At 49.6% G+C, this 25,257-nt stretch overlaps 2 annotated features.

Moving 5' to 3' along the window:
* Positions 5,736-6,935: an enhancer, noted in NCBI's record as "P300/CBP strongly-dependent group 1 enhancer chr2:119868745-119869944 (GRCh37/hg19 assembly coordinates)". NCBI's record gives its function as "activates an origin of replication core promoter dependent on BRD2, BRD4, P300/CBP, MED14 and CDK7 cofactors, with strong dependence on P300/CBP, by STARR-seq in HCT116 cells {active_cell/tissue: HCT116}" and the evidence as "EXISTENCE:reporter gene assay evidence [ECO:0000049][PMID:35650434]".
* Positions 7,518-8,183: an enhancer, noted in NCBI's record as "H3K4me1 hESC enhancer chr2:119870527-119871192 (GRCh37/hg19 assembly coordinates)". NCBI's record gives its function as "activates a minimal SCP1, AML or CMV promoter by ChIP-STARR-seq in primed H9 embryonic stem cells {active_cell/tissue: H9 hESC(primed)}" and the evidence as "EXISTENCE:reporter gene assay evidence [ECO:0000049][PMID:30033119]".

Here is a 25,257-nt window from a genome sequence, read left to right on the forward strand (position 1 = left end):
GAGACATGTGTTGTAAGCTCACTGCTTAACAGAACTTGAGACTTATTTGACAGCTCCTCCTTCCCAGTTCTCTCCCTGCCTCTCTCCACATCATCACATGTCTCTTCTCAGTTTTCACATTCTCTTCTCCTCTCATATACTCTTTCCATTTACTCATTTACTCATATCTGTTGACCCCTTGCCTCGTTTTTTTTTTCCTTCCATCTTCTATGCCTGCTTCCTTCTAACTTATTTTTCCCTCCTCACTCCTCACTCATTCTCTTCCCATCTCTCTTCTTCTGCCCCCTCTTTACTCCTGGTGTACTGTCACTGGAATACATGACCATCTCTCAGGCTCTTGTCTCTCTCTCTCTCTCTCTCTCTCTCTCTCTCTCTCTTGCTCACTCTCCTATTCCTCCCTCTCTCCTGAGACCTCTTCTAATCTCAGCCTTTCTTTCTCTTTCCTACTCAATTCACTCTTTTTTCTTTTCCTCCTTCACCCCCAACTGTGAGGGAAAGGTGGGAGAATAGATGAGGGGAGGGAAATATGTGAGGAGAGGGGCCTGGGGTGGGGGATTTTGGAGAAAGAAGAGAACCAGGCACATAAATGCTGGGTGTGGCCATAACAAAAACAGAATACTACTTGGCTGAGGCCCTGCCCTCAGAACCAAACAAAGTAAAGGGGATCCCTGGAGAAAGAGCTGTGAGGAAACGAAAAGGACAGTCCTGCCAGTCCCACCTGTCCCACCTCAAAGAACATGGGCATCCTGAAGACCTGACAATGCATAGCCTAGTGGCAATAGAGTATGGGCTATGGAGCCAATCTGTCAGAGATCAAATCTTGCCTCCATCATTTACTACCTCCGTGACCTTGGACAATTAATTATCTGCGGTGCCTTGGTTCCTTCATATGTTAAAATGAGGAAAAAAGCAATATTTTCTCTGTAGATTTGTTGTGAGAATTAACTAAGCTAATATATATATAACGTTTCTGGCAAAGAAATTCTATGTAACTGTTATCTCCTATGATTTTTCTGATTTAGAAGGAACAGCCAACTTGCCCCTTTGGCGCTGTCCGTGGTGCTGAAGGCCTGAGCCTGCTCCTTCTGGCCCAGGAGTCCGAAAGGTTTGGTATTGGGAAATGGCAGCTCAAATCCATTAGCTCTCACTGTGTACCAAGGACTGTGCTAAGTGCAGTGCCTGCATTATCTTGCTTTTCTTCACTGCCTGGAAAATAGGTATTGTTATCTCCATTGTAAAGGTGAGGGAACTGCTGTTTACTTGAGGTGACACAGCTATTACAGTAATGGATGGAGCTGGAGTTTAAACCCAAGTCTTGCTTATTCCAAAGCCCATACTCTTTCTATAACACTGTTCTGTCTCTTGTGTCCTCATCCTGCCTCTGACTTTCTAATTCCCTGACAGCAGCCACTTGCTTCTGATAGTGACTTCTTTGACCCCAATCAACAACCAAAGCAGGTCAACGGAAGATCACTTATTATTTCTTTGCTGTTTGATGCTCCTGTAGCCCTAGGTCATGTTATCACGGCATCACAGTGTGTTGTATTTGGCTGAATATGGGTTTCTCACTTTAGCTAAACTTTGAGTTCCTTTGGGGCAGGGGATTTATGCTGATTATATAGTAGATGCTCATTAAGGGCCTACTGAACGAAACTAATTTCTCTTCTCCATTTAATGGTATTCTAATAGTGGAAGCTTGTCTCATCTTGCTGTTGTTTGACTTCCATAGGTGTTCTCTTTCCCTCACTGGGTCTCTGTCATCCCTACATGCCACTTGCAGCACTGGCCCCTCTGACTGATATTATTGGTCTGTTAAAAGGGATTTATTATTCAACCAACTAACTCATTGAGCCTCCTTTATGCACAGCTTTATGCTGACAGCATATGCACATATGACTAGCTTGTTCCTGTACTCAAGGCACACAACGTCTGCTGTGAAAACATAATGAGCACATGTGACACAGAGAGTGAGCAAGTGATACCAAACTGCATGAGGGGTCAGGGCAAGTATAGTAGATGTTTGTTATGGGAGGGAGGAAAGTGAGCCTTGAAGAATGAACAGGATTTAGATAAAAAGATGGTAATGTAAACATTCTAGGTAGGGCAATAATGTGCTTTACCCCTAGATGTGGGCTTGTGTGTGTGTGTGTGTGTGTGTGTGTGTGTGTGTGTTTGAAGGTGGGGGAAGTAGAGGGGAGAAATGAGGGCACTGGCAGTCTGAAACAGGGATACATTTTTCAATTAGTTGGGGCTAAAATTTTAAGGGGCTAGGGACAATGGAGGATGATGGAAAGTTTTGGAAGCAGACAGTAGTTTGGACCTGACTTGGTAGGAAGTGGGAAATTACCAAAATGCTCTGACTTGGAAAGTGACAAGATCAAATTGTGCTTTAGAAACATCCTGTCAGCAGCATATGGGGGCAATGAAAGGGCTGATCCCAGGGGCAGTTACACAGTCAGAAAGCTATTTGCAGGAGTCAGAGCTGAGGAGGTAAGGCCCTGGATTCAGAAAGTGGCAGTGGAGAAAGGACAAGAAACATCCATGGTGAACACCCATATGCCATGGTCCAGTTAACTTGGGCCTAATTGGAAATAACAAATACCAAGCAACCAAAAGCCACCCTGAGGAAGGATGCATTTTTTTTGTCCTGTTTCCCATACTACTCTGTGGTGTCAGTGGAGCATCCTAGCTGCAAGGGAGGTTAAAGGCTTTGAAAAATGAAGAGGAATGAAAGCTTGCCTTGCAGTCACCTGCATGCCGTCTCACACAGGCAGCTGAGGCCAAGGACCACCTGCAATGTCAGCTGGAAATCCAGGCTCTGCAGCCCCAGCTGGCCCAGATACGAGCTGAAGGTTGTTGGAGGTCCCCAGCAGCTGGCAGGTTGGTGGCCCACACCTCTCCCTGCTGCTCCTCCAGGATCATTCTGCATACCTCTTCCAGAAGAGCTGTGTCATCCTGAGGGTTGTGATAAATGAAGGTTCTATATAAAACCAACCCCATTGAAAACCACACTCCACTAAGTGCCTGTGTGGGTGTTGGGGGCCATGGAGAGCATTAGGGTTAAAATCAGGGCTCCTGACAAAAACCCAAAGCAATCCAGAAAAACGCTGGTGGCTGAGGTCTTGTTGACATGCCTGCCTGTCAGGTGGATCAGTTCTGTCCTATTAGACACACACTCTGAGCTTCCATGTGTGACATTCCTTCAGACCTTTATACAATTTTGCACAGCCTCCCAAAACTCATTATCCCATGTGACAGTCATTTTATCCTGTGAAGTAGAAAGGGAAAGCCTCATTATCTTTATCCATCTCATCAGTGAGGAATCCAGAGCATTGTCCTATACTTTCCCTATCATACCATTTATCATGCTCTATGATAATTACTACTGTTATTGTGTGAATTCACTACTACCCAGGGAGCCCCATGAAAGTAGGGATCAGGTCTGTCTTCTTCAATGCTGTCTCCCCAGACCCCACAGAATACTTGACAGCAAACAAATAAGTGAATGAATGAATGAATGAATGAATGAACTGCCAAAGGGCATATAGATGCTTCCCATCAGAACAAGAACTGGATCCCAGGTCTCCCATCCTCCAGTACAATCATGGTTTTCTTAGAGTATTAGAACTAGAAGAACAATTAGTGGTTCTGAGTCAAGCAGGTTTCCTCCCCTGAAATGCCCTTGTCCCACTTCCAGAAGTGCCATCCCTTCCAAGACACCCATCTTTCCACACAGCTAGAAGGGCATACTTCATTCACATTGGAATTACTTGGGAGCTTTTAAAAATACTGATGCCTAGGTTTCCAATTCCAGAGATTCTGAACTTAATTGGTCTGGAGATCAGCCCGGAAGTTGGAACACAAATGTACAACCAGGGTTAGCAACAGCTGCTTGAGAACATGGCATACTCAAAGCATGGTTCACAACCAGCAGCAAGAGCATTAGCTGGGCTCTTGTTAGAAATGTAGGTCTTGGCCAGGCTCGGTGGCTCACACCTGTAATCCCAACACTTTGGGAGGCCAAGGTGGGTGGATCACTTGAGGCTAGGAGTTCAAGACTAGCCTGCCCAATGTGGTGAAATCCCGTCTGTACTAAAAATACAAAAATTAGCTGGGCATTGTGGTGTGGGCCTGTAATCCCAGCTACTCGGGTGGCTGAGGCATGAGAATTGCTTGAACCTGGGAGGCAGAGGTTGCAGTGAGCCGAGATCGTGCCATTGCACTCCAGCCTTGGTGACACAGCCAAACTCTGTCTCAAAAAAAAAATGTAGATCTTAAATGTTCTTGCCACACACAGAAAAAATAATAACTATGTGAGGTAATGGATATGTTAATTAGCTTGATTATGGTCATCATTTGACAATGTGTATATATATCAAAACATGATATTGTATACCTTAAATATGAACAATTTTTATCTGTCAAGCATACTGCAATAAAGCTGGGGGAAAAAACGGGAAAAAAATGTCAAGCCTTAGGCCCCACCCAGACATGCTGAGTCAGAATTTGCATTTCCCCAGGAAAGGAGTTCCCTGAGGAATTTGCAAGTTCCCCAGGAGAGTCATTGACTTGAGCAATATTTCAGGGGTGGTTCTTGACCCTGGCTAGCAGTAGAATCACTCTGAGGGCTTTCTAATTACCAGTTGCTGAACTCCACGTGAGACCAAATAAACCAGACTCTCTGAGGATAGCGCTCAGGCATAGTGTTTAAAAATCTCCCCAGGTGACTCTCATTTGCAGTCAAGGCTCAGAAGCACCAAACAGAATAATCTGTACCTCTGCTGGCATATAGTGCTTTCTGCCTTGCATTGTCATTATAATTATCTGTGTACATGACTTATTTCCTCCATTGACCATCAGTTCCCTGAGGGCAGAGACTGTGTTTCATTTATTCATGATGCATAAAAAAGTTAAGCTCCTACTATGTGAAAAACAATGGGCTAGGCACTGGGGATACATGTGCAGCCTCTGCTGTCAAAAACAGTCCTGTGGTCATGGAGTTCACAATTTAGAAGGAGAAACAGACATACAAATTAAGTGATTAAAATGTGAGAATAGGAGTCTACCTGGAAATATGAACAGGGAACCACCAGGCTCTGGAGGAGAGCAACGTGACCCTCCTGGGAAATTCAGGGAGGGTTTCACAGGAAGGCAGCCTTGGAGCTGCCCTTGCAGGGTAAGTAAGATGCCTGCACAGGTAGAGAAGACAAGGAGAGGAAACTCCTAAGGAAAGGAGCAGGTTGCACATAAGCAGATACATATGGGTAAAATGATGAATATACAAAACTGTTATCCCAGAATTATTTATCATCACAACATATTGTAAACAACTTAAATGTCCATCTGAAGAAGACTGCTAAATAAATCATGGTCCATTCTTGCAAAAGAATATCGGGCAAACAAGAATATGTTGAAGAGCCTCTTTTAGGTACTCATATAGAATCATCCAGGACAGAGTGCTAATCCTCCATGAAAAAGCAAGGCCATTGTAAAGCACAATTTAAAATATGTTGTTATACACACTCAATCTGCCTAAACACCCTATGAGGCATCATCATACCCTTTTTGAAGATAAGGAAACCGCATCTCAGAGAGATGAAGTACCTTGCCCAATTTCGCGATGTAAACCAGAGAACCAGGCTTCCAACTCACGTGGGTCTGACTGAAAAGCCTGCAATGGTTCTGCCAGCCCAGGCTGGCCATGGGCTTTGTCTGATGAGACCATTTATGGAGTAGATAGATTTGTGGGCATCAAGGCCTGAGGCAGGGGGAATGGGCTTCAGGGACAGAGCCAGAATCCCAAGGGAGGGGCAGGAAGACAAGGCCAGGAAGAGAGAAGGAACAGGCTCAAAGGACACAGCCCTCTGACTCTGCCATTGCCACCAGCTGTTGACAACTTCCTAAGCTGTGGGGCCTATACCCAAATGGGTGGTCCTGCAAGCAGGGAGTCCTAATGTGGTCACAGCCACTGCTGCAATGTTTGAACCAGCCAGGCATTTGCAAAGGAGTCCTGCCACCCCAGTAGACAGCAACAGGCACAGATGATCCCTAATTTGTCTTCTAAGCCCTCTGTTGGAAGTAAGTGCTCGGTGCCACCAAGTGAAAATAGCACTTAGGCAAAAGTTTTCTCAGCAAGGCAATTTACTTCTATAGAAGGGTGTGTCTTGCGGATGGAGCAGTGGCGAGAGCACACCGGAAAAGGGAGGGGAAGGGCTTCTTACCCTAACGCAGCTAGTCCCTACTGCTGTGTCTTTCCCCTATTGGCTAGGATTGGACCACACATTCCAAGCTAATTCTGACTGGCTATTTTAAAGAGAGCAGGAATATGAGCCAGAGTGGCAGGGTGAGTAGTTCGGCAGGAAGGGCGGTTACAGAGCAGGTGACTCAGGATGACTAAGAACAGAGCAGGTGACCAAGGATGACTAAGTTCAGAGCAGGTGATAGAGGCTAGGAGGGGGTTGTTTACTGAGGCTAGGGGCAAGGAGACACAAAGAATGAGGAAGTTAAACTTTAAAATGGAGAACAAAGAACGGGGAAGCTGAACATATTGACACATTGGTTCTTTGGAGAGGAACTCAGAACTCACGGTACTTCACAATTTTCTCCCTCTTGAATTTTAAAGAAAGTTAACAGGCTAAACTTTGAAGGGGAAACTGATCTATTCTACACCTCCATCCAGAAAGAGGCCAAGGAGCACACTGAATGGCAGCCCCACTTTATAGAAGCCCTTGGAGCACAAATCCCTGGATTCAGAATTCCCTACTAAAGCCTAAGAAAAACTGAGGCCCTGTCTTCTCCTCCATCACATGAGGAGCTCATATCTGACAATGCCACCCATCTGAGGGTACTCCCCAAACAGCCACATCACCCAGGAAGCCCCCACTGTAAGACGACCCATAGTAAGGCTTGAGTCGTCATCTCAGGAGAGGTGCTGAAGCCACATGTGAAGAGGAAAGAGTGTGGGCATTAGGGTTCCATTCAGACCCTGGCTCCACCCCTACCAGCCAATGACTTAACGAGTCACCTAACTGCTCTGAGCCTCTGTCCCCACCCCTTCTACATGGGGATGTCCTCCTTGCTGTGGGCAAATGACATGAGTCTACCTATGTCAGGTTCCCAGCCCAGCTTTGAGGTTGGCAGACAGAAAATAGAGTGGAGCTGTCATCCCATTCATTTCTGCATCCATGCACAGCTCACAGCCCCCAAACCTTTCCTAGCTGCCCCTGGTCCCCATGACAACCTCGTGAAAGCAGGGGGTCTCATAATCAAACACTCCTAGGGCAGAGGGTAAAGTACACACACAAGGCAGGGGTTGTATAAGACAAGAGAAAGTGGGGGCGGCGTGCTGAGCAGGAGAGTGTGGCCCCACCTGAAGGGACTTGCAGGCCCAATTTTTATAAAAAAGAAAAAGAAAAAGAGGGGACAATTTATCCCTTGAGCCACCCCTTTGAGAGTCTTAACACTGAAGCCAGCTGGGGCCCAACAAGTACCCCCACAGCCTGCTTGGGGACACACAGAGTTAGAGGAAAACTGAGCCCAGCCCAGAACTGCATTCTCTCCCAGCAGCTGCTGCCAGGCTGGCCTCATCCTGAGCAGAGGAGGTAGGCGGCTGGGGGTGTACTCTGTGGAACATCGGGAAAGGCCCCCCAAGAGCTCTCCCCGCCAGAACCTGAAATGCCGGCATTAAATATTCATTCCTTTGGGTTAAGTGTTTCCTCTCCAGGGTCCTCTTTTAAAATTCAAATGCTTCTTTGGAGAGGAACAAGCCACTTGTGGCTCAGAATCAAATGTACTGGAATTGAGTGGATGGAATGGCAGCCCTGCTCAGGGAGGAGAGAGGACCTCCTCCCCCATCACCACCCACTGCTCCTCACCATCCCTTTTGCACTGCTGTGCTCCTCCGCCCTCAGTCCATTTGAGGACCACGTATGTTGAGGGGCTGGAATAGAATCTGCTCTAAGTTTCTGTTCCGGGAGATCAAACAAGAGATTCACTCAGAAGAGCCCTTGGCCACTGCAGACACCTTGGTCTCCCCTTCGGGTCCCAAACATTCTTGCTGGAAGTTAGGGGGCTAGGCAAGCACGTGGAGCTGAGCTTTTCCAGTGCAAAGAAAGCCAGCAGCAGCCCAGCTCTGAGCAGTGAGAACAACTTCTGCCCCAGGTAGCTAGGAGAGCTGGCAGACCAGCTCCCCAAGGAGGCTCAGAGCCACAGCGACTGCATCGCTTCCTCAGAAGCCTGCATTGTCATTCCACGCAGGTTTCCATTTGATTGGGATGCAGAGAACAAGTCAGCATGTACATCCCCACTAATGAGAGTGGCCCTAATGAATGCATTAACAAGAAAGTACGGTTGGGGACCCACTGTGTGCCCAGCCCATGCTAGGCATAGCCTTTGAAATGAGGTTTCTCTTGAACCTCACTTCTTTTACCCACTCGTTCAGGACCCGTGACCTAGCCCTCAAGTCTCCCTGATTATTTCTGGAAGTCCTCAGAAGGTTCTCAAGTTTGTCCCCACAAGTTCTCTTAGCTTCCCTGTGTGTCCAGCATTTGTCTCCCCTCCAGGTCTGGCTTCCTTTGGAGAAGCCCATAAAAAAGGCAAAAAAAAAAAAAAAAAAAAAAAGCTCTGTCCCGTAGCCCCTGCTGCTGGTGCAACTTTTATTGTTGCTTTTGCTTCCTGTCCCCTAGGGTGACATGATGTGTGCCCCAGTCAAAGTGAACCTTCTGAGTTGAGAAGAATGCTGCCCGCCCTTGGGCAACTGTCACCCCTCCTCTCATAGGACCTTAAGGTGGAAACCATCCTATGCTCTTCTGTTAGTGGGGGCCAGACACAAGTCCAGGAGAGGGATGGTGGACCGCTGTCTCCCAGATGCTCCCCGTCACCCACACCAGGGCCTCTGCCATCCACATCTGTACCCCAAGAGCACTGGCCTCAGACATCAGACCCAAGGGTTGAGTTCCTGGATGAGTGACCTCTACAAAGTCACAGCCAGCCAGGCCCACATCTAGACTGCCAGGCTGCTGGGCTGAGAACCTTCCCCAGGAAAGGGCCAACAAGGTATATTCCCAGTCACCAGACACTCTTCCACTGTCAGAGACTGACTACCAGGCCAGAGAGCCCCTTTCAGGAAGAAGAGTGAACAGTTCTGGCCTGATAGCCCTCTTCTGTTTGCAAGAAGCCCAGGGACCCCCAATAAGCCTCATAATGCCGCTGAGCCTCAGTCTTTCTCATCTGTAGTTAAAAATGCCTTTTTGGCCTGGCGCAGTGGCTCATGCCTGTAATCCCAGAACTTTGGGAGGCCGAGGCATGCAGATCACCAGAGGTCAGGGGTTCGAGACCAGCCTGTGAAACCCCATCTCTACTAAAAAATACCAAAAAAAAAAAAATTAGCTGAGCATGGTGGCACGCACCTGTAATCCTGGCTACTCAGGAGGCTGAGGCAGGAGAATCTCTTGAATCCAGGAGGTGGAGGTTGCAGTGAGCAGAGATGGTGCCACTGCACTCCAGCCTGGGTGACAGAGCAAGACTTGGTCTCAAAAAAACAAAAAAAAAAAGCCTTTGTATGGGGTCATTATAATGATCAGCCATAGCATCTACCACCCACCCACCCAGTGAGCACTGCTTAGATGCCAAATGATTTCCAAACCATACTAATCCTCCATGAAAATCTAGCTCTTATGAGCACTCTCATTTTACAGAGGAAAAGAAAATTAGGCTTGGAATAAAACACTGGGCACAGTGTTTGGTGCATGGACAGAATTCACTAAATGCTGCTGAGTTTTTGTACAAAAATGCTTATCAAGAAGTTTTTATGCCAGTTAGAGAGATGAGATGGAGCAACATACAATTATCACATCCTTTACCCTGCTTGCAGGCTCAGGGAAGGGCTGTCTTCCCTGATCTCCCAGCCCATGGTTGTCTGTGCTTCTCCATCTGAGCTCTGTAACTTGGATTGTGTTCACCACTTACCTGACACTGAGTGACCTTCAAGGCCCAGCCCAAGAGCTCCCAGTTCAAAGTCATTGTCTTTCTCCTGTTCATTCTCTGCAATCTGAGCAACAGATCTCTGAATGCCTGCCCTTCTTCGCTTCTACACTGTGCCCTTTAAGGTCAGGGACTACATCTTATTTTAATTCCTTTGCTTTTGCAGAAACACCCCACAATTTGTATGTAGCAGACACCCAATGATGTTTGCTAAGTTGCATACAGTAGCCATGTTCCCATCTAGGAGTGTATTCCAGGTCCCAGCAGTGAAGGCTGCCCCTTTAAGAATGGGAACCATGCCTCGTGGATGTAGCCATCTAGGGAGGAACACAGGAAGGAGCTGCTTCTACCACTCCAGACCTCTGTGACTTTGGGAAGGTCAGTTAAGTTCCCAAAACTTCAGTTTCCATGGCCACAAAATGACAATACTAATACTCCTTCCTTGCGAGTTATGAGAATTAAATGAGAAGGTTTGCATAAGGCACTTATTACAAAGATGTCTGATGTGTAGAGAAAGAATTATCCACCACTTCACTTCTACCTTGCTGTACTCTCTCATCCAGAATATTGCCCTGAAGAAATGTGGGTCTTCAATGTTGAGAAGGGAATAAATGAATAAACTTGTATGTGTCAACCGTAGGGTTTCTGTGAATACAGAAACCCTGCAACCTGAAGAGCAAGGAATGAACGTCTTCCAGCAGGGCGCTGTGTGAGCAAAGAAAGTAGTGAAAATGAAATGGGAGGTTTGGGGGCAGTGAGCAGCCTACATGAGGGTCACTGGAGATGCCAAAAACACTCACATTATCCGGGACTCAATTGCTTGCAAGTTTCAGAAACACATCTTCTTCTACCACGTGAGGAAGTGAGGGAACTTGTTGGCTTACATAGCTGAGAAAGATGGTGGTGCATCTGGTGTCAAACACAACTGCATCTTAAAGCTTGAGATCTGCCACTATGGGGTTTCTCTGTGCCGCCTTCTGTGTTGGTAGCGATTCTAGGTTGCAGTTGACAGAATCTCTTTTAGTTGGGTCAAGCATTAAAAAGTTCGATAACATGCATTAAGCAGCTCCCAGGATTTCAGAATGGAACTTATATGCTGCTAAGCCAAGAACAGAGGGGGTAGTGCAAACATCCATCCATACCACAAGACTGTTCTAGGGCACAAGCACCTGTAGCTGTTGGTCACTCAGCACCATGGCACTGGAACAGGTGGCCAGGACACTGCCATAGCTGCCCAGAAGAGCAGATGCCTTTGCCATGCCTTCCTCCTCCCCAAGGCCACAATTCCAAGGGAAGGCTCTGACCAGCCCACCCCTTGAGTCCAGCACCCATGGCAAGAGGAACAGGTTGCTAGGATAGGATGGAACTAGGACACAGTTCCCCAGAAATGGAGAGACGAAGTGCCCGGGGAAGATCTGCTGCTGACATCAGAAGAGGTGGAAAGGTGCCCAGCTGAGGCAAACTACGGTCTTCCAGTGAGCTTCAGGAAGGTCACTCTGGGAGAAGGAGGGTTACAGGATGAAAGTGTAGGGTGGAGAGGTGAGTCCGGTTATGAGGTCACTGCAGAAATCCAGCAGGGAGGACGAGGGGGCAGCCAAGGTTATGCTTGGAGCTAAAAAGGAAAGGGTGGATACAACGGACACATTGGAGAGAAAAATAAACAGCCCCTTGTGCCGGTGAGCCTGGTGTCACTGGAGGGGAGAAAACGCAAACTGTCCCTGGGCACGCTTATCAAAGATGCTTCTTCTGGCAGGAAGAAATTGACTAAGTAAGGGTTAATTGTCCCCTTTTGGCCTGACAGCCAGAACCCTCTTTTCTCAATGTTATCCTTCTCTGTATGTGCCCTTGCTGTGATGGAGGGGAAGAAAACATTTGTCAACTTAAGCAGAGGAGAGCATAGTTATGATTTGAAATCTTTTTAAAGTTCCTTCCCAGGGAGGCCTCACTGAACTAGAAAGCAGGTGGCCCTACTGGCAGTTTGACTAAAATGCTGGGGCAGGCAAGTTCCTATAACAGTGTCAGGGGCCTCCCTCAGGCACCTGCAGGCTGGTCTTTCATGTCGGCCAGTGGGAGGGTCACCTGGCCATGTAATTCATGGGGCCCCACAGGGAAAGGATGCGTCCACCCAGAGCCCACTGCTGAAATTGAACCCCACTATAGGCCTGACCAGGAGTCCCGGGTGCAGAGCCTTAGCTGCGGCCTCATGAAGTGAGCCTGGGGCTGGGATCTGCCCTCTAGCTCACCTGGCCAAGGTTCTCCCTCTCCCTGCATGAGGCAGGGCGCTCACCTGGTCAGCTGGGCCATGCTGGGCTTCGGCCAGCTCCTGCCTGCACTCACTCCCTGCCCCACCCCTCTGCATCTCGGCCTTGTCTCCCAGGGCAGTGTCTGCCTCAGTTTCCTCATCCTCCCTCTCCTGGTGACCTGGAGCCAGGCATCAAGAGCCCCAGGTGCTCTTTGGAGGCCTGATGCTCCCCTTGCTAGGTGTGTGATCTTGGACAAGCAACTGCACCCCCAGGAGACCTTGCTCACTCATCTATAAATATCAGCACATGCCTCCGAGGGCTGTTGTGCTGCCTGTGGAGTTAACACATGAAAAATCCTTAGACCAGTGCCTGGCACGTCTTAGGTGTTCAATAAGGGGAAAGGTTTATCCCATCCCTTGCGGGAGCCCTAAAACTCTCCCTTGCTCCAGCCAGCTCCTGCTCTGGGGCCAGCCCCACCCCCAGCCCCTTTGCTACTGAACATCCAGATCATGGACAGGCCTCCCAAACAGCTTCACTTGCCACCCCACCCATGGCTCCTGCTGCTGTCCTGCCCCCTCCCCTAGATAAGACCCTCCCCACAAAATCAGCACCCAAGATGGAGAAGCCAGTCCACGTTCTCCGCTTGAAGCACAGATACGTGAATTTTGTTTCTTCCACCTTCACTAGTCCCATATCAGTTTCTGAGTCCTAGATCCTTACCTGCCTGAGGTCCCAGCATGTCTCAGCTGCGTGGATGAGTCAGGGTAAAAGTGGCTGTGAGGCCTTGGAGATTTACTTCCTAACCCTGAGCCTCACCTTGCTTGGCTACAAAATGAGGGTGGGGTAGCTCACAGGAAGACTGCTTCTCTTCCACATAATGCACACCTAAATACTCCTGAAATGGTGGATGGGGTGGGGGGCCCTAGCCAAGATCATAGTCAAGTGGGTTTTAAATGAGGACACTTCCAAAGGAGGGCAGACCAGAGAAGAAATTCTTAGTAAAAACGTAGTACAACTGAGAAGCAGCCCGAAGCTGCCTGGAGCAGTGGTTGCCAAAAAGAGAGAGAGGGCCTCTGAAAGGGGAGCCTTTGGGTGCTGGGTGCAAATTATGGCTGCTTCACACAGGGGCAGCAGGGGTACCTCCCCAGCCCCAGCAGCAAGGGAGCAAGCCTGCCACCTTCCCCCAGTGGCACTTTCTTTGTAAGTCATACTTGGGTGACTTTCATTCTGACCGCCAGCAAAGACTCCATTTATTCAACAAGGGAAAAATGAGGCGATTTAGAATGTGGAGCCGTCATTCCTAAACCTTACCTGGGTGTGAGCACTGGAAGTCTGCTCACAGCATCAATTATTTACAGTGTAAGTTATTGTTGTTCGGCAAAACTAACTTAACAGCCTCTATTCTTTTTTAAATGAAGCACCTCTGGTGACATTGGCAGCTCAGCATTCCTCGGCAAGAAGTCATTTATCCATAATGATAAGAAAACCCATCATTTGCTGCACACCTGCTAGATCCCACAGAAGCATATTTTGTCTTCAACACTCTTGTCAAACTCTGTAAGGTTGGTGTTAATGGCCCCCATTTCCAGATGAGAAAACTGAGGCTCAGAAAAGTCAAGCAACTTGCTCTAGAAGACGCTGCTAGTTAGAGGCCATGTAAAGCTTGTTTCCCCCAGGCCGGATGTGATTATGCTGCACTGAGTCTCCCAAATGTGGCCCAGGCACATCCTAGGGGACTTAAGATCTAAAGTCGGCAAGGCTATTGAGAATCATTTAGAACCACAATTTCCCATGAAAATAAACACCTTGGGAAAGACACAGACAGACACATAGCACTTTCCTGGAAGCCTGATCTGTCCATTTTTCTTTCAGCACTCGTCTTTGGCTGAGTGCCATATCAGTAATTAGCATGTGTTTAGGGGCTCATTGTACAAAGAATATAAGTCTCTGAACCCTAGAATCTGCATCAGCAAAGGGAGATGCTAGCGCTGGGGAGGCGTGCAGGAGCCAGGACCTAGGGAGCAGCCAGCACACACCTCCCAACTCACCCTCACTCTGGGCTGGTGTGAGGGGAGGTCCATGGGCAGAATCGCCATACTATATATAGCCAATCTCCCTTTGTACTTATTGATTGATTGGTTGACTGATTGCTGGAGACATATAGTTAACTTTGCACATTAAACACACCTAATTATGATGCAACTTCACTGTACAGGCACTTCAAGCCCCAGTCCAGCCCCTCCCACCCTCACCAATCCCTTAAACATCCCTGAGGGAAACATACTAGCAGGGCTTCGATTGGAGGAGACAAATTAATTATAGTGTGATAGTGCCAGGATGAAATGGGCAGGCTGTTTTTCCTGTTTCTTCCTTTCAGACCATGCATCCCTCCCTGTGCCTGAGAGTTTAACAAAGGAACGGGGCTTGCACTGCAGTTCATAGCAGGAAATGTGTCAGGGGAGAGCAGAAGGCAGGAGAAGACCAACATTGAAGGAGAGGTTTTAAAACACATAATGATTTCATGTCAAAACACAATTTCCTAGTGTCAGTGCACTGTTCTGCAAGCACGAAGGAAAAGGGAAGTGACTGAAAACTCCTGGAATGAGAACGTGGCTGTGGATTCTGCAACATTGATTGATGGTCTTGAAAGGAGAGATTGATGGATTATGATTTTCGGGAGGGATCATTAAACGCTGAGTCCATGAACAGAGCTGCCTGGCATTTGGACATTTTGGTGCAAGAGAAAACCATTTGGATGATCTTAATTCATCTGCCCATTCTCCAAAACCAATCCGTGCAGGCGCAGCAAGTCAGATCCAAGGCCATGAGATAGGACACGGTCCAGATTTGGTGCTCAGCGCGAATTTGTCAGATGAATGAGAAAGAACAGCTGGGCCGGGGCTGGCGGTCTCTGGATCTGAAAAGCTGTCAGATGCCTGCAATAGATCACTTTCCCTTCCTGTGTCACTCTGGCTAAAGCCATTAGAGAGGAGACGTGGAGTCAGGTGTTCTCACTCAATGAGGAGTTCGAGACAAGCTAGAGGGGCTGGCAGCCACGAGGGTTGCACCAAGGTCTATTCTGAGCTGGGGAGGGTGGCAGCTTAGAGCTATGGGCAGGGAGGGGGGCACTGAGTGTAAATCATAAAGGAGGTCTGGTGTGGGTCTCTGGGAGAAGAGGGAAATTGGAAATACATTCCACAGAGGCTAGGAGGATCAGGAAGAGTTTGGGGAAAGTGGTTGTCAGAGCAGGTCAGCAGAAAGACTGGGAAAGGTGTGAGGGTATTGGAGAACTGCTCCTATGTGGTGCCAGCTGTATACTTCAGAGAATGGTCTCACCACTCACAGCAGCCAGGCAAGAGTTGATGCCCCCTGCCTAGCCTGCCTGCCTGCCTGCCAGCCGCCAAGGCCAGAAGCTGAACTCCTAATGCTGCCCTGTCTGCTGGGCTTCTAACAGAAGCTGAAATCCTAAGAGACCGCAATATGAAGTGAGCAGAACCCCACTTTGCATGTCTTCTGGAGCCTCAGCTGTCATATTCCCCTTTCACTAGCTGGCACCATGCACCAGGACCCCACAGTGCATGGAGGCTGAGGCGAGGCCCACCTTCAGGTGGACATGGCATTCTGCCCCCTCCATTCTCTCTCTCTCAGAGGTCCTTTCTGTGGCCCACCTCTGGGGTCCTCATGGTCCCCCACAAGCCCTGGTGTCCTCACCTGCCCCTACCATGCTCTTCTTTCCTCACTTAAGTGGAGCTTCGTGCCCCACCTTCACTTATCATAATTGAGCCACTGTCTGACCCATTCCCTCCTGGCCATGCTTTTCTATGAACAAATATGACTAAATCAATATATATTAAGGCACTCATGCCAGATGGCAGGTGGCAGCATAAACCTTCCCTGGCAACACTACATTTATTTGAGGCAATGGTGGCATAGATGTCTTGGCAGTAAGGATGGGATGATGGTGGGAATCTCCGGACTCACAATTACCAGGTGGAGAGATTTTCCCGCACCATCAAGTTACTCAGGCCATGCTTTCCCCATGGACAGGTGAGCTGATAGAGGGAATATCAGGCACAGGATAGGCAAAACAGAAATATGGGACAGGCTTTCTGTCCCCAAGGGACACTCAGTCTATTAGGCCAACATAAATGGCATTGCCCAGGGCTGGACACTCACTAACCGGGGAATACAACAGCAGCATCAGAGAGAAGCCTGGTTTGGCGCTACCTGTGTACCCTACAAGCCGTGTGGTCTAGGCCAGCCTGAGGATTAGAATACTTGATCAGAGGGCTCTAGAGGGCATCAGAAGACACACCAATCACAGTACTTCATCCATCCTAAAGCACTAACACAGGCATGGCCATATTATTCTGTCAAGAGGAGGATGTTGATTTGAAATAGCTTCACGCATTGCTGGCTTTCTGCAGAGTGCCCACCTTGTGCAGGGCACATGTGTTGAACATGGGAAAGATGCCGGTCCCACCAGACTTTGAAGACGAAATAACAAAGATGGATGCAAAAATACTAATTAGGCCAGGCGCGGTGGCTCATGCCTGTAATCTCAGCACTTTGGGAGGCCGAGGCGGGCCGATCACGAGGTCAGGAGTTCGAGACCAGCCTGACCAACATGGCGAAACCCCGTCTCTACTAAAAATATAAAAATTAGCTGGGCATGGTGGTATGCGCTTGTAATCCCAGCTACTCAGGAGGCTGAGACAGGAGAATTGCTTGAACCCGGGAGGCGGAGGTTGCAGTGAGCCGAGATCGTGCCATTGGACTCCAGCCTGGGCAACAAGAGCGAAACTCTGTCTCAGAAAAAAAAAACTCCGTCAAAAAAAAAAAAACACTAATTTTCTTCATATCGATTTCATGCTGAAATGACACCCCTTTGGCTCTAGAGGATTAAATAAGATATATTAAAATTAATTTCACCTGTTTCCTTTTACTTACTAAACGTAGTAATTAGAGAAATTCTAGTTGCCTGTATGGCTTGCATTCTACTGCCATTGGCCAGTTCTGGTCTTACAGCACTCTCCAAAAGAACTTCCTGCCAGGATGGAAATGTCCAATACAGTAGGACTAGCCACCTGCAGCTGCTAAGCCCTCGAAAAGCGGTTAGTGTGGTCTGAGAAAATGAACTTTTAGTTTTATGTCATTTCAATGAATTTGAATGTCAGTAGTCACGTGGGGCTAGTAGCTACCGTATTGCGCAATACAGGTCAGGAGCTGTGGGATCTGGTTAGATCTGGAGTTCTGTGCCTTGGCTGCATCTTACAATCACCTGGGGGAGATTTTTTAAAGCACAAAAGCAAACTCCACCTTCAGAGCTCCTCTGTCATTAGTCTGGGCTGGAGTCTGGGCTGAGTAGCCAGGATGGAGCACCACTAGGTTATGAAGAAGACAAAAAAGGATGAGAGCTGCTACTTATTAAGAATTTGCTGGTGCCAGGGGATCTGCAAGAGGTTCATGTTGTTCCCCCCAACCTGCACAATAACCCAGTGGAGTTGGTATTATTTTTACATCATCATCCCCATTTTACAGACGACGAGACTGAGACATGCCCGGAGACACCCAGCTACAGAATGGCAGAGCTGGGATTAGAACTAGGATGTGCAAAGGCCTTGGAGGCAAAATTCACCCCACACCCACACCCTGGTGTCCAGCGATCAGAGGGCTGAGCAGCCTGGGTGGGATAGAGGGCTCAGACCCTGTGACAGGGACCTCTTGGGGCAGCCTTGAGCGAAGGAGGGTGCTCGCTTCCTGGGGAAGACCCAAACCCTGTCCTTGCCTCACATACACAGCTGGGCTGGGCTGGCCCAGGACTCCGCGCTTCCCCAAGAAAGCCAGGCAGCAGCGGCTCTGACAACAAAGACACCCACGTGGAGCTGAAACGAAGCACTTCAGACAGCCAGAAGTGCTGGCAGGCGGGCAGCTGCCCCTCCCGGCGTGTCTTCAGGGAGCTATCATCTCCATGCAGCAGCCTCCGAAGCCACCGTGATGCCTGGCTTTGTCACTTAGGACATCAAAGGATTCCTTTGAGCTAAAGACACTAGAGGGTCTTTGGAGGATTGGAAGAGCTGGAGGAGCCCCACATGCCTGGAATAGAGATGGCAGTGACTGACAGAGCATGACACAGGGCCCTGAGGCTTCCTTCCCAAAGGGGACCAGTGGAGGACACCATTTCTCCAAAGCCCCTGCATGCACCCAGGGGCTCAATAATCCTCATTGTCTTTGTGTATGAGTGGCTGGTGCATGGAGGGAGGTGTCCCTGGGTTGGAGGTGGGAAGAAGAATGAATGGGTGAGTGATGGACATTGGCTGGAGGGGTTAGAGGTCCTCTCTTAACCTTAGCTTGCTTCTCAAACAGGAATCCTTGCATCCGAAAGTTAGATCTTTGGGTCTGTGGGCCCTCAACCTGTATCTGCTTTAGTAAATGCTGCAAGAGGGGAACTGCTGGAGAACCCCAGCACAGAATTCCTGCTGCATTGGGTGTGTGTCGTCTGCACACCTGCTGAGTTCCTCTTGGAGCTGGGAAGCCCCGGATGCACAGACATCAGAGAACACAGGAGAAAAGGTGGAGGAAACCTTCTCCAGTGGCTCCAGGCCACTAATGCTGCCTGTGCACTGGGTGCCTGCTCTGTCCCCACCAATGGCAGTGCTTGGGCTCTGGGGAGCAAAGACTGAGCCACAAGCCCTGCCCTCAGGGGTCCCAAAGTAGCAGAGAAAGCCAAGTACACAGATGACAGTCGATGCAGGGACTCTGATGAAGCACGTGGGAAGGACAGGGGCGGCAGGGACAGAAGACACCTCTGAGGAGACTGCAATGTAGGCAGAGGCTCACCAGAGTGGGGGAGCCAAGAGGGGTGTGAGCAAAGCCTGTAGGAGCTCCACAACCCAGCCCAGGTGGAACTGTTTTCCAGGTAATTCTAACTTCTATCAGAAGGGAGCCAAGCTGGGAAGGAGCCCATGGATACAAAAATGGCCCTTCATAAGCCACTTCATTTCTCTCTGAGCAAGGTCCTCCACTCCAAACCAAGTCTACGTTCATGTGGGCAGCTTCGGGGCAGGATTTCTGAGGATATGCGAGCCTTCTGTGGGCATCCATTTCACAGATGAGCAAATGGATGTCAGGAGACATGGAATGAGTTTCCCCTTTAAGGGACCAGAGCTCAGCTTGAGGCCAGGGCCAGGTGGGGAGTTGTGGAAAATAAAGATGGAGGAGCGGCTGGTGGCCCTCTCCTGAGGTGCCCTGGGGTAATCTCTGTGGGCTAGCATGTCCCCACTGAGGCTCCTCCAAATGGGGAGGATGGGGAGGCAGAGGGGAAAGCTCATATCTAGCACATGTAGAAAATTGGCCATAGGTAAGAGGAAGCTGGTCAAGGCGTGTGAGCAGAGGCAGGAGCTGGCGGACACCCTGCTGCATGTCTCTGCCCAGCCACATGCACCTGTGGGAGCTGGGAGTGTGCTCAGTACCCACATCTCACCTGCCCCCAGCCCCAGCTGAACCCATGAAGGCAGGAGGTTGTCTAAGGGAGGAGGGAGGAGGCGGCCTCTCAGTGAGGTGGTGACTCGGTGGTTCAACAGCTTTGGTGAGTGACAGCCTTCACACGTGCTGGGGGTTGGGCAGAGAGGGGCTGCTTTTAACAGTGATGCTTGCTCAGGTGCTGAGAAGCTTTGCTGTCACTACTGAGCTGTGGGTTATGGCTGCCAGTCTCCTGGCTGGAGGCAGGAAGGGCATTGCTTCCAAGTGCCCAGCCAGGCCCCAGCTCTGCCAGCCCCTCCAATGGGACCTGGGTTGGGGTCCCTCTCTCCCGGCCTCCCTTTCCTTCTTTGCACAGGATGAGGGTGGGCTGGATGGACTCTGTACTCCTCACCTTTACTGTGGCTCCCCTCCTGGAAAGGAATCTTTTTGGAGGGTGTGCCTGAGCCAGAGCCTTTACCAACGTTTGTCATCCCATTCAGATCTCACCTGGAGCCCGTGAGGTGGGCATTGCTTTCCCGGCATCTCAAAAAATCTTGGCTCAGAGAGGGTAAGAGATTCACCTTGGCTACAAAGCCAGACCGCAGCCAAGATTCTAAGTCTGTCTGAAACCACAGTTGAAGCCCTTTCTCCCAGGAAACACCTCCAGCTAGGCTGGGAACTGAGGGAGGAGAAGGCTAGACCAGTGGCTCTCAAAGTATGGTTTCCAGGCCTTCTGTTTCAGAACTCTGGGGGTGAGGCCCAAGAATCTGTGTTTTAGCCAGTCCTCAGGTTGGAGGAGTGCTGAGCTGGACCACATTGTCTTTGAGGAAGGAACTAAAATGAGCATATGAGCATGAGAGGGCATATAGGAGACCAGGTTAGACCACTTCAGCTCTTATGGGCAGAATGGGGGTGACAAAGACTCACCAGGCCCCATGGAGCACTCTTTTCAGTGAGGCTTTGTCCTTGGGCACTGTATTTGGCCTGCCTCATCCAATTTTAGCAAGAATCCTGCTAAGTCCATTTGGAGAGACTCCCCCAGCCTCAATACTTGACCACCCCCAATATCTGATCAAACTCCCCCACCCACCCTTGATATCTGACCACACTTGCTAAGTTGGGTTGGCGAGAATCCCCCTACCCTTGATGTCTCCTCTTAGTGATTTTCCATCCCCTGGCCCCTGACTGCTGCTGGGCTGGAAATCCTCATTGTCCTTGCTGTACTCAGAGTTAAGCCCCATTTCTCTCCCCTGTTGCAGTAGTCTTGACACTTATCAAAATGGTCCCGAATAAAGTCTTTCTTGCATTTTAACAAGTGTCAGAATAATTTTTGCTTTAGCAGAGGGAAAGGGAGGAGTCTCATTCTCCCCTCCCCCAGTTCCAAATACGGCATCTCAAACCAAAACGACTCAGAGGATAATTTTACCAAAATCACCCCACAGGGCTCTGCAGGCCTGGAGTTTGGTTGTTATGAAATGCCCCAACCTACAAAAGCGGATTGGGGTAGCAGCTGGAATTCGTCAGAGGCACACACGGTGAGCACCCTGGGCATGGGCTTTGACCCTGCCTCCACCCCCAATCCCAGCCCCCACCACCTGCTTCTCATCCCAACTTTGTGACCCAGGTCGCAGGCCACGCCCCCTGCTGGCCAGGGCCGACACACGCCTCCACAGGACAGACTTCCTGGGGTTCCCGAGGCAATTTGCTGTGAGCTTTCGCTAAAAACCGACCTCCCTCAGACTCTAAGCGGGTGGCCCATCAGCACATGACAACAGGCAAGCTAGGGCTGGAGGTGTGGCCCAAGCCATGGTCCTTCAGGGGAACAGGCAGCCCAGCCAGAGGCCGGACCTACCGCTTACCGAGCCTGGAAAAGTCCCGCTGAGTCAGTTAGGTCTCATCCAGAGAGAGCAAGAGGAGGCTCCTTTCTTTTTTTCTTTTTCCAGAGAGAGCAAGAGGAGGCTCCTTTCTTTTTTTCTTTTTCCAGAGAGAGCAAGAGGAGCCTCCTTTCTTTTTTTCTTTTGTTTTTTTCTTTTCTTTTTTTTTTTTTTTTGAGACGGAGTCTTGCTGTGTCACCCAAACTGGAGTGCAATGGCAAGATCTCAGCTCACTGCAACCTCCGCCTCCCAGATTCAAGCGTTTCTCCTGCCTCGCCTCCCCAGTAGCTAGGATTACAGACACCTGTCACTACGCCCATCTAATTTTTGTATTTTTTGTAGAGACGGGGTTTAACCATGTTGGCCAGGCTGGTCTGGAACTCCTGACCTCAGGCGATCCACCCGCCTCAGCCTCCCAAAGTGCTGGGATTACAGGCCTGAGCCACCGCACCTGGCCAGAGGCTCCTTTCAAAGCAGGCACTGGTCTTCTCACAGAAGCTCGTTTTCTGCCTAGCCTGGAGCTTTGGAGAGGCCTCCATGATCTTGGACTGTATTTTGTGTTTCCCATTGCAAGTTTTCTAGCAAATGAACTAGGATTTGGGTCACTTGCCCACCTACCGGGTGAACAACCTTGGTCAAGTCAAGGCTTTCCCAGCCTCAATGATCCCATCTGTACAATGGAACTAGTAGTGGTCCTCTTTGTCTCAGAACCTGCTACCATCAGAGTCGATAGGAACCTGGCCCACTCAGTTTTCAGATGAGGAAATGGGTCTAGAGTGGGAAAGGGACTCGGATACGAGGCAGGGGTGGAGGCAGTGCAGTGAGATGTGAGTCTGCATGAACTCACAAAAGCACCTGACACTTTATGACACCAGAAAGGTGGGAGGACCAGTCCTGGTCCTCAAGGAGCTCTCCAGCTGCTGCGGAGGGCACTCATGGTCACCTAATCCACCTTGGACATGTGTGCTGAGGACAAAGGCAGCACAATGGATATTTGGAACCCATGAGCTGGGCAATCTTGGTCAGCTTGGGAGAGGAGGGAACGGGCCAGGGCAAACACCTGACTGGCAGGGCCATGGCAAAGGCCTCAGCATGTGGCCTGTGCCATTCAGAGAGAGAAAGGTGCAGGCTGCGAGCAGGGAGATGTTTGTTTCCACAGCCTGGACACTGACTCTCTGTGAAGGAAGCATTTTCTGTGCACAGAGCACTGAAGGCTGCCTCCTGCCCATCCTGTGCCTCGTCCCCAGAACCCTCCATCTTCCCAGAGGCTGCTGGCAGAGCTCTCAGCAGTGTTTTTTGCTTGCCCAGCACTCTGTAGCAGCTGGGAAACTATCTCTGGCTGCTCATCTTTCCCTTCTTTCTCCAGAGTCCCAAACTCTGACCCACGTGGCCAGGGCAAGTCAGTCCGGAGCTGTGCTGACTTTAATATCACCCACTCCTCTCCCGAGGAAAGAGCTCCTGTCCCTGGCTGCACATCAGAATCACTGGGACAGACCTGCAGAGGACAGATGCCCAGACCCACTGAATCAGGCGCTCTGGGGGTTGGGCCCCAGCACCTGTATTTTTAAAGGTCCTTAGGAGATTCCAATGTAGTCAGGGATGAGAATAGCTGATGTAGAAGCCCAGAATGTCAGGGTCAGAGGGACCCTTAGAAATTATCACATGAGGGCCGGGCACAGTGGCCCATGCCTATAATCCCAGCACTTTGGGAGGCCGAGGTGGGGGGATCACCTGAGGTCAGGAGTTTGAGACCAGCCTTGTCAACATGGGAAAACCCCGTCTGAACCAAAAATACAAAAAAAAAAAATTAGCCGGGCGTGGTGGTGGGCGCCTGTAATCTCAGCTACTGGGGAGGCGCCTGGGGCAGGAGAATCAGTTGAACCCAACAGGTGGAGGTTGCAGTGAGCCGAGATTGCACCACTGCACTCCAGCATGGGTGACACCGCAAGACTCTGTCTCAAAAAAAAAAAAAAAGAAAGGAAGAAATGATCACGTGAGTGCACACACACACACACACACGTAGAGAAGCATGTTCTTTTCAGATGGGGAAACTGAGTCTTAGAGTTTTGCTCAAGGGCACAAAAGTCAATCATGTGTAAGCTTGAACTCCTTGCTTAGGGCTGTGTCATTTATTCCTGAAATATTCTTGTGCCTTACTATTATGTACCAGACTTTCCAGTTTCTGTCTATTTCAGTGACCCACTGAAATCTCACCAACTTCACCTTCCTAACACACCCACAGCCCTCATCTGAACTCTCCCCTCCTCCAACTTGACAGGGTCTGAACTGCGGCTTGTCCCTCAAGACCAGGATGCATGTCTTTTCACACACATCCTAGATCCAACAGTGCATCCTTATAGGAAGAGGGAAAGAAAGAGAGCACCTTTAAAAGAAAATGGGACAGAAAAGGAAAAGAAAATGAGAATGTCCCAGGACAAGCTCTTCTCAGGACCAGACTGCTTTCATTGCACCGGGAGACGCCACTTGGGCATGGGACCATGGGCGGGGTACAGCATTTGTTCTCTCCCTGGACAGGACACTTGCCTTCCACAATGCTCCCCATAGGGTAGAAGGCTGTTAGAACCCCATAGGCCATTACAAGGGTTCTGCTACCACCAGATCCTTGTTAGCCTGGAATCAGGCCACCCTCACCGCCCGCTGCCACCCTTCATCCTGCTTCATCCTGCTGTGTCAGCGCTCTAGCACTGCACTCCAGCTCCAGTGTGGAGAGAATCCTCAATGCCCTGTGGCCCCCCGCCAGGAAGGTGTGCACGGAACGGGCTCCGGGTTACAGATGCAGCTTGCCTCCTGGAAATGTTCCCTGCTCTAATCACTTTGTTAAACTCCACAAACACAATCTCTGCACCGTGATCAATTATTTAGCAGAAAACAATGCATCGTGTTAACAACTAGATGGCATTTAATACGCCCCCAGAATTCTAATGATGCTCCATCACCGTAGGCCTAATGCAAAGTTTCCCTTGCCTGTGCTTTTGAAGTCTTCCCAGAGTGGAGAAGAGCCAAGATCTATATGCTTTCGGGTGATGTCGGACTTAGCTAGCCCCCAGAATGTAATCAGCTTGGCCGCTGCGCTGCCGTGAGGTGTCCTTGCGACTTATTTGTTTTCTTTCTGCCTTGCAAATTACTCCTCTTGCAAGGTTGTTTGTTTAGTGTCAGGAGGTTATTAAACAAACTTAAAGCTTGGGCTGTTAGTCAAATCAGGCAGGAGTGGGGCTGGGGAGGGGTGATTCAATATTTAAGAGGCTGCTCCTTCTGCCACGCTGCCCCCAAAGCTAGGCGACCCACAGCTTGAAGGCCGGAGCCTGAGGGCACAGTTGGCTGTGATCAGAAAGTCCTTACTGTCTCATGTTTCAAGAGCTGAGTCCTGGGATGCTGCCTAACAAAGGTATTAGAGGTGATCAAGGAGGAACAACACCAAGATATCTGCATCTAGGTCTCTTGGCTCCTGCCATCCTCAGTCTTGCTCTCCTGGTCAAGTGCAGGGCCCTCTGGAAAACACTGGCCAGGGCATCTGCCCTAAAGACCTTCAGCATCCCTGGGACTCAGACTCCAGAACAAACTCCAGCTATCTCCATTCGATCCAATTGTGTTACCATTTCCTGTGAATTTGCTGTGCACCAGCCTCTCTGCTCACAGTTCACAATGGTGCCCACCGTGTGTTGAGCCCCTCCTGTGAG

The sequence above is a fragment of the Homo sapiens genome, chromosome 2 (assembly GCF_000001405.40).
Source record: "Homo sapiens chromosome 2, GRCh38.p14 Primary Assembly".
NCBI lineage: Eukaryota > Metazoa > Chordata > Mammalia > Primates > Hominidae > Homo > Homo sapiens.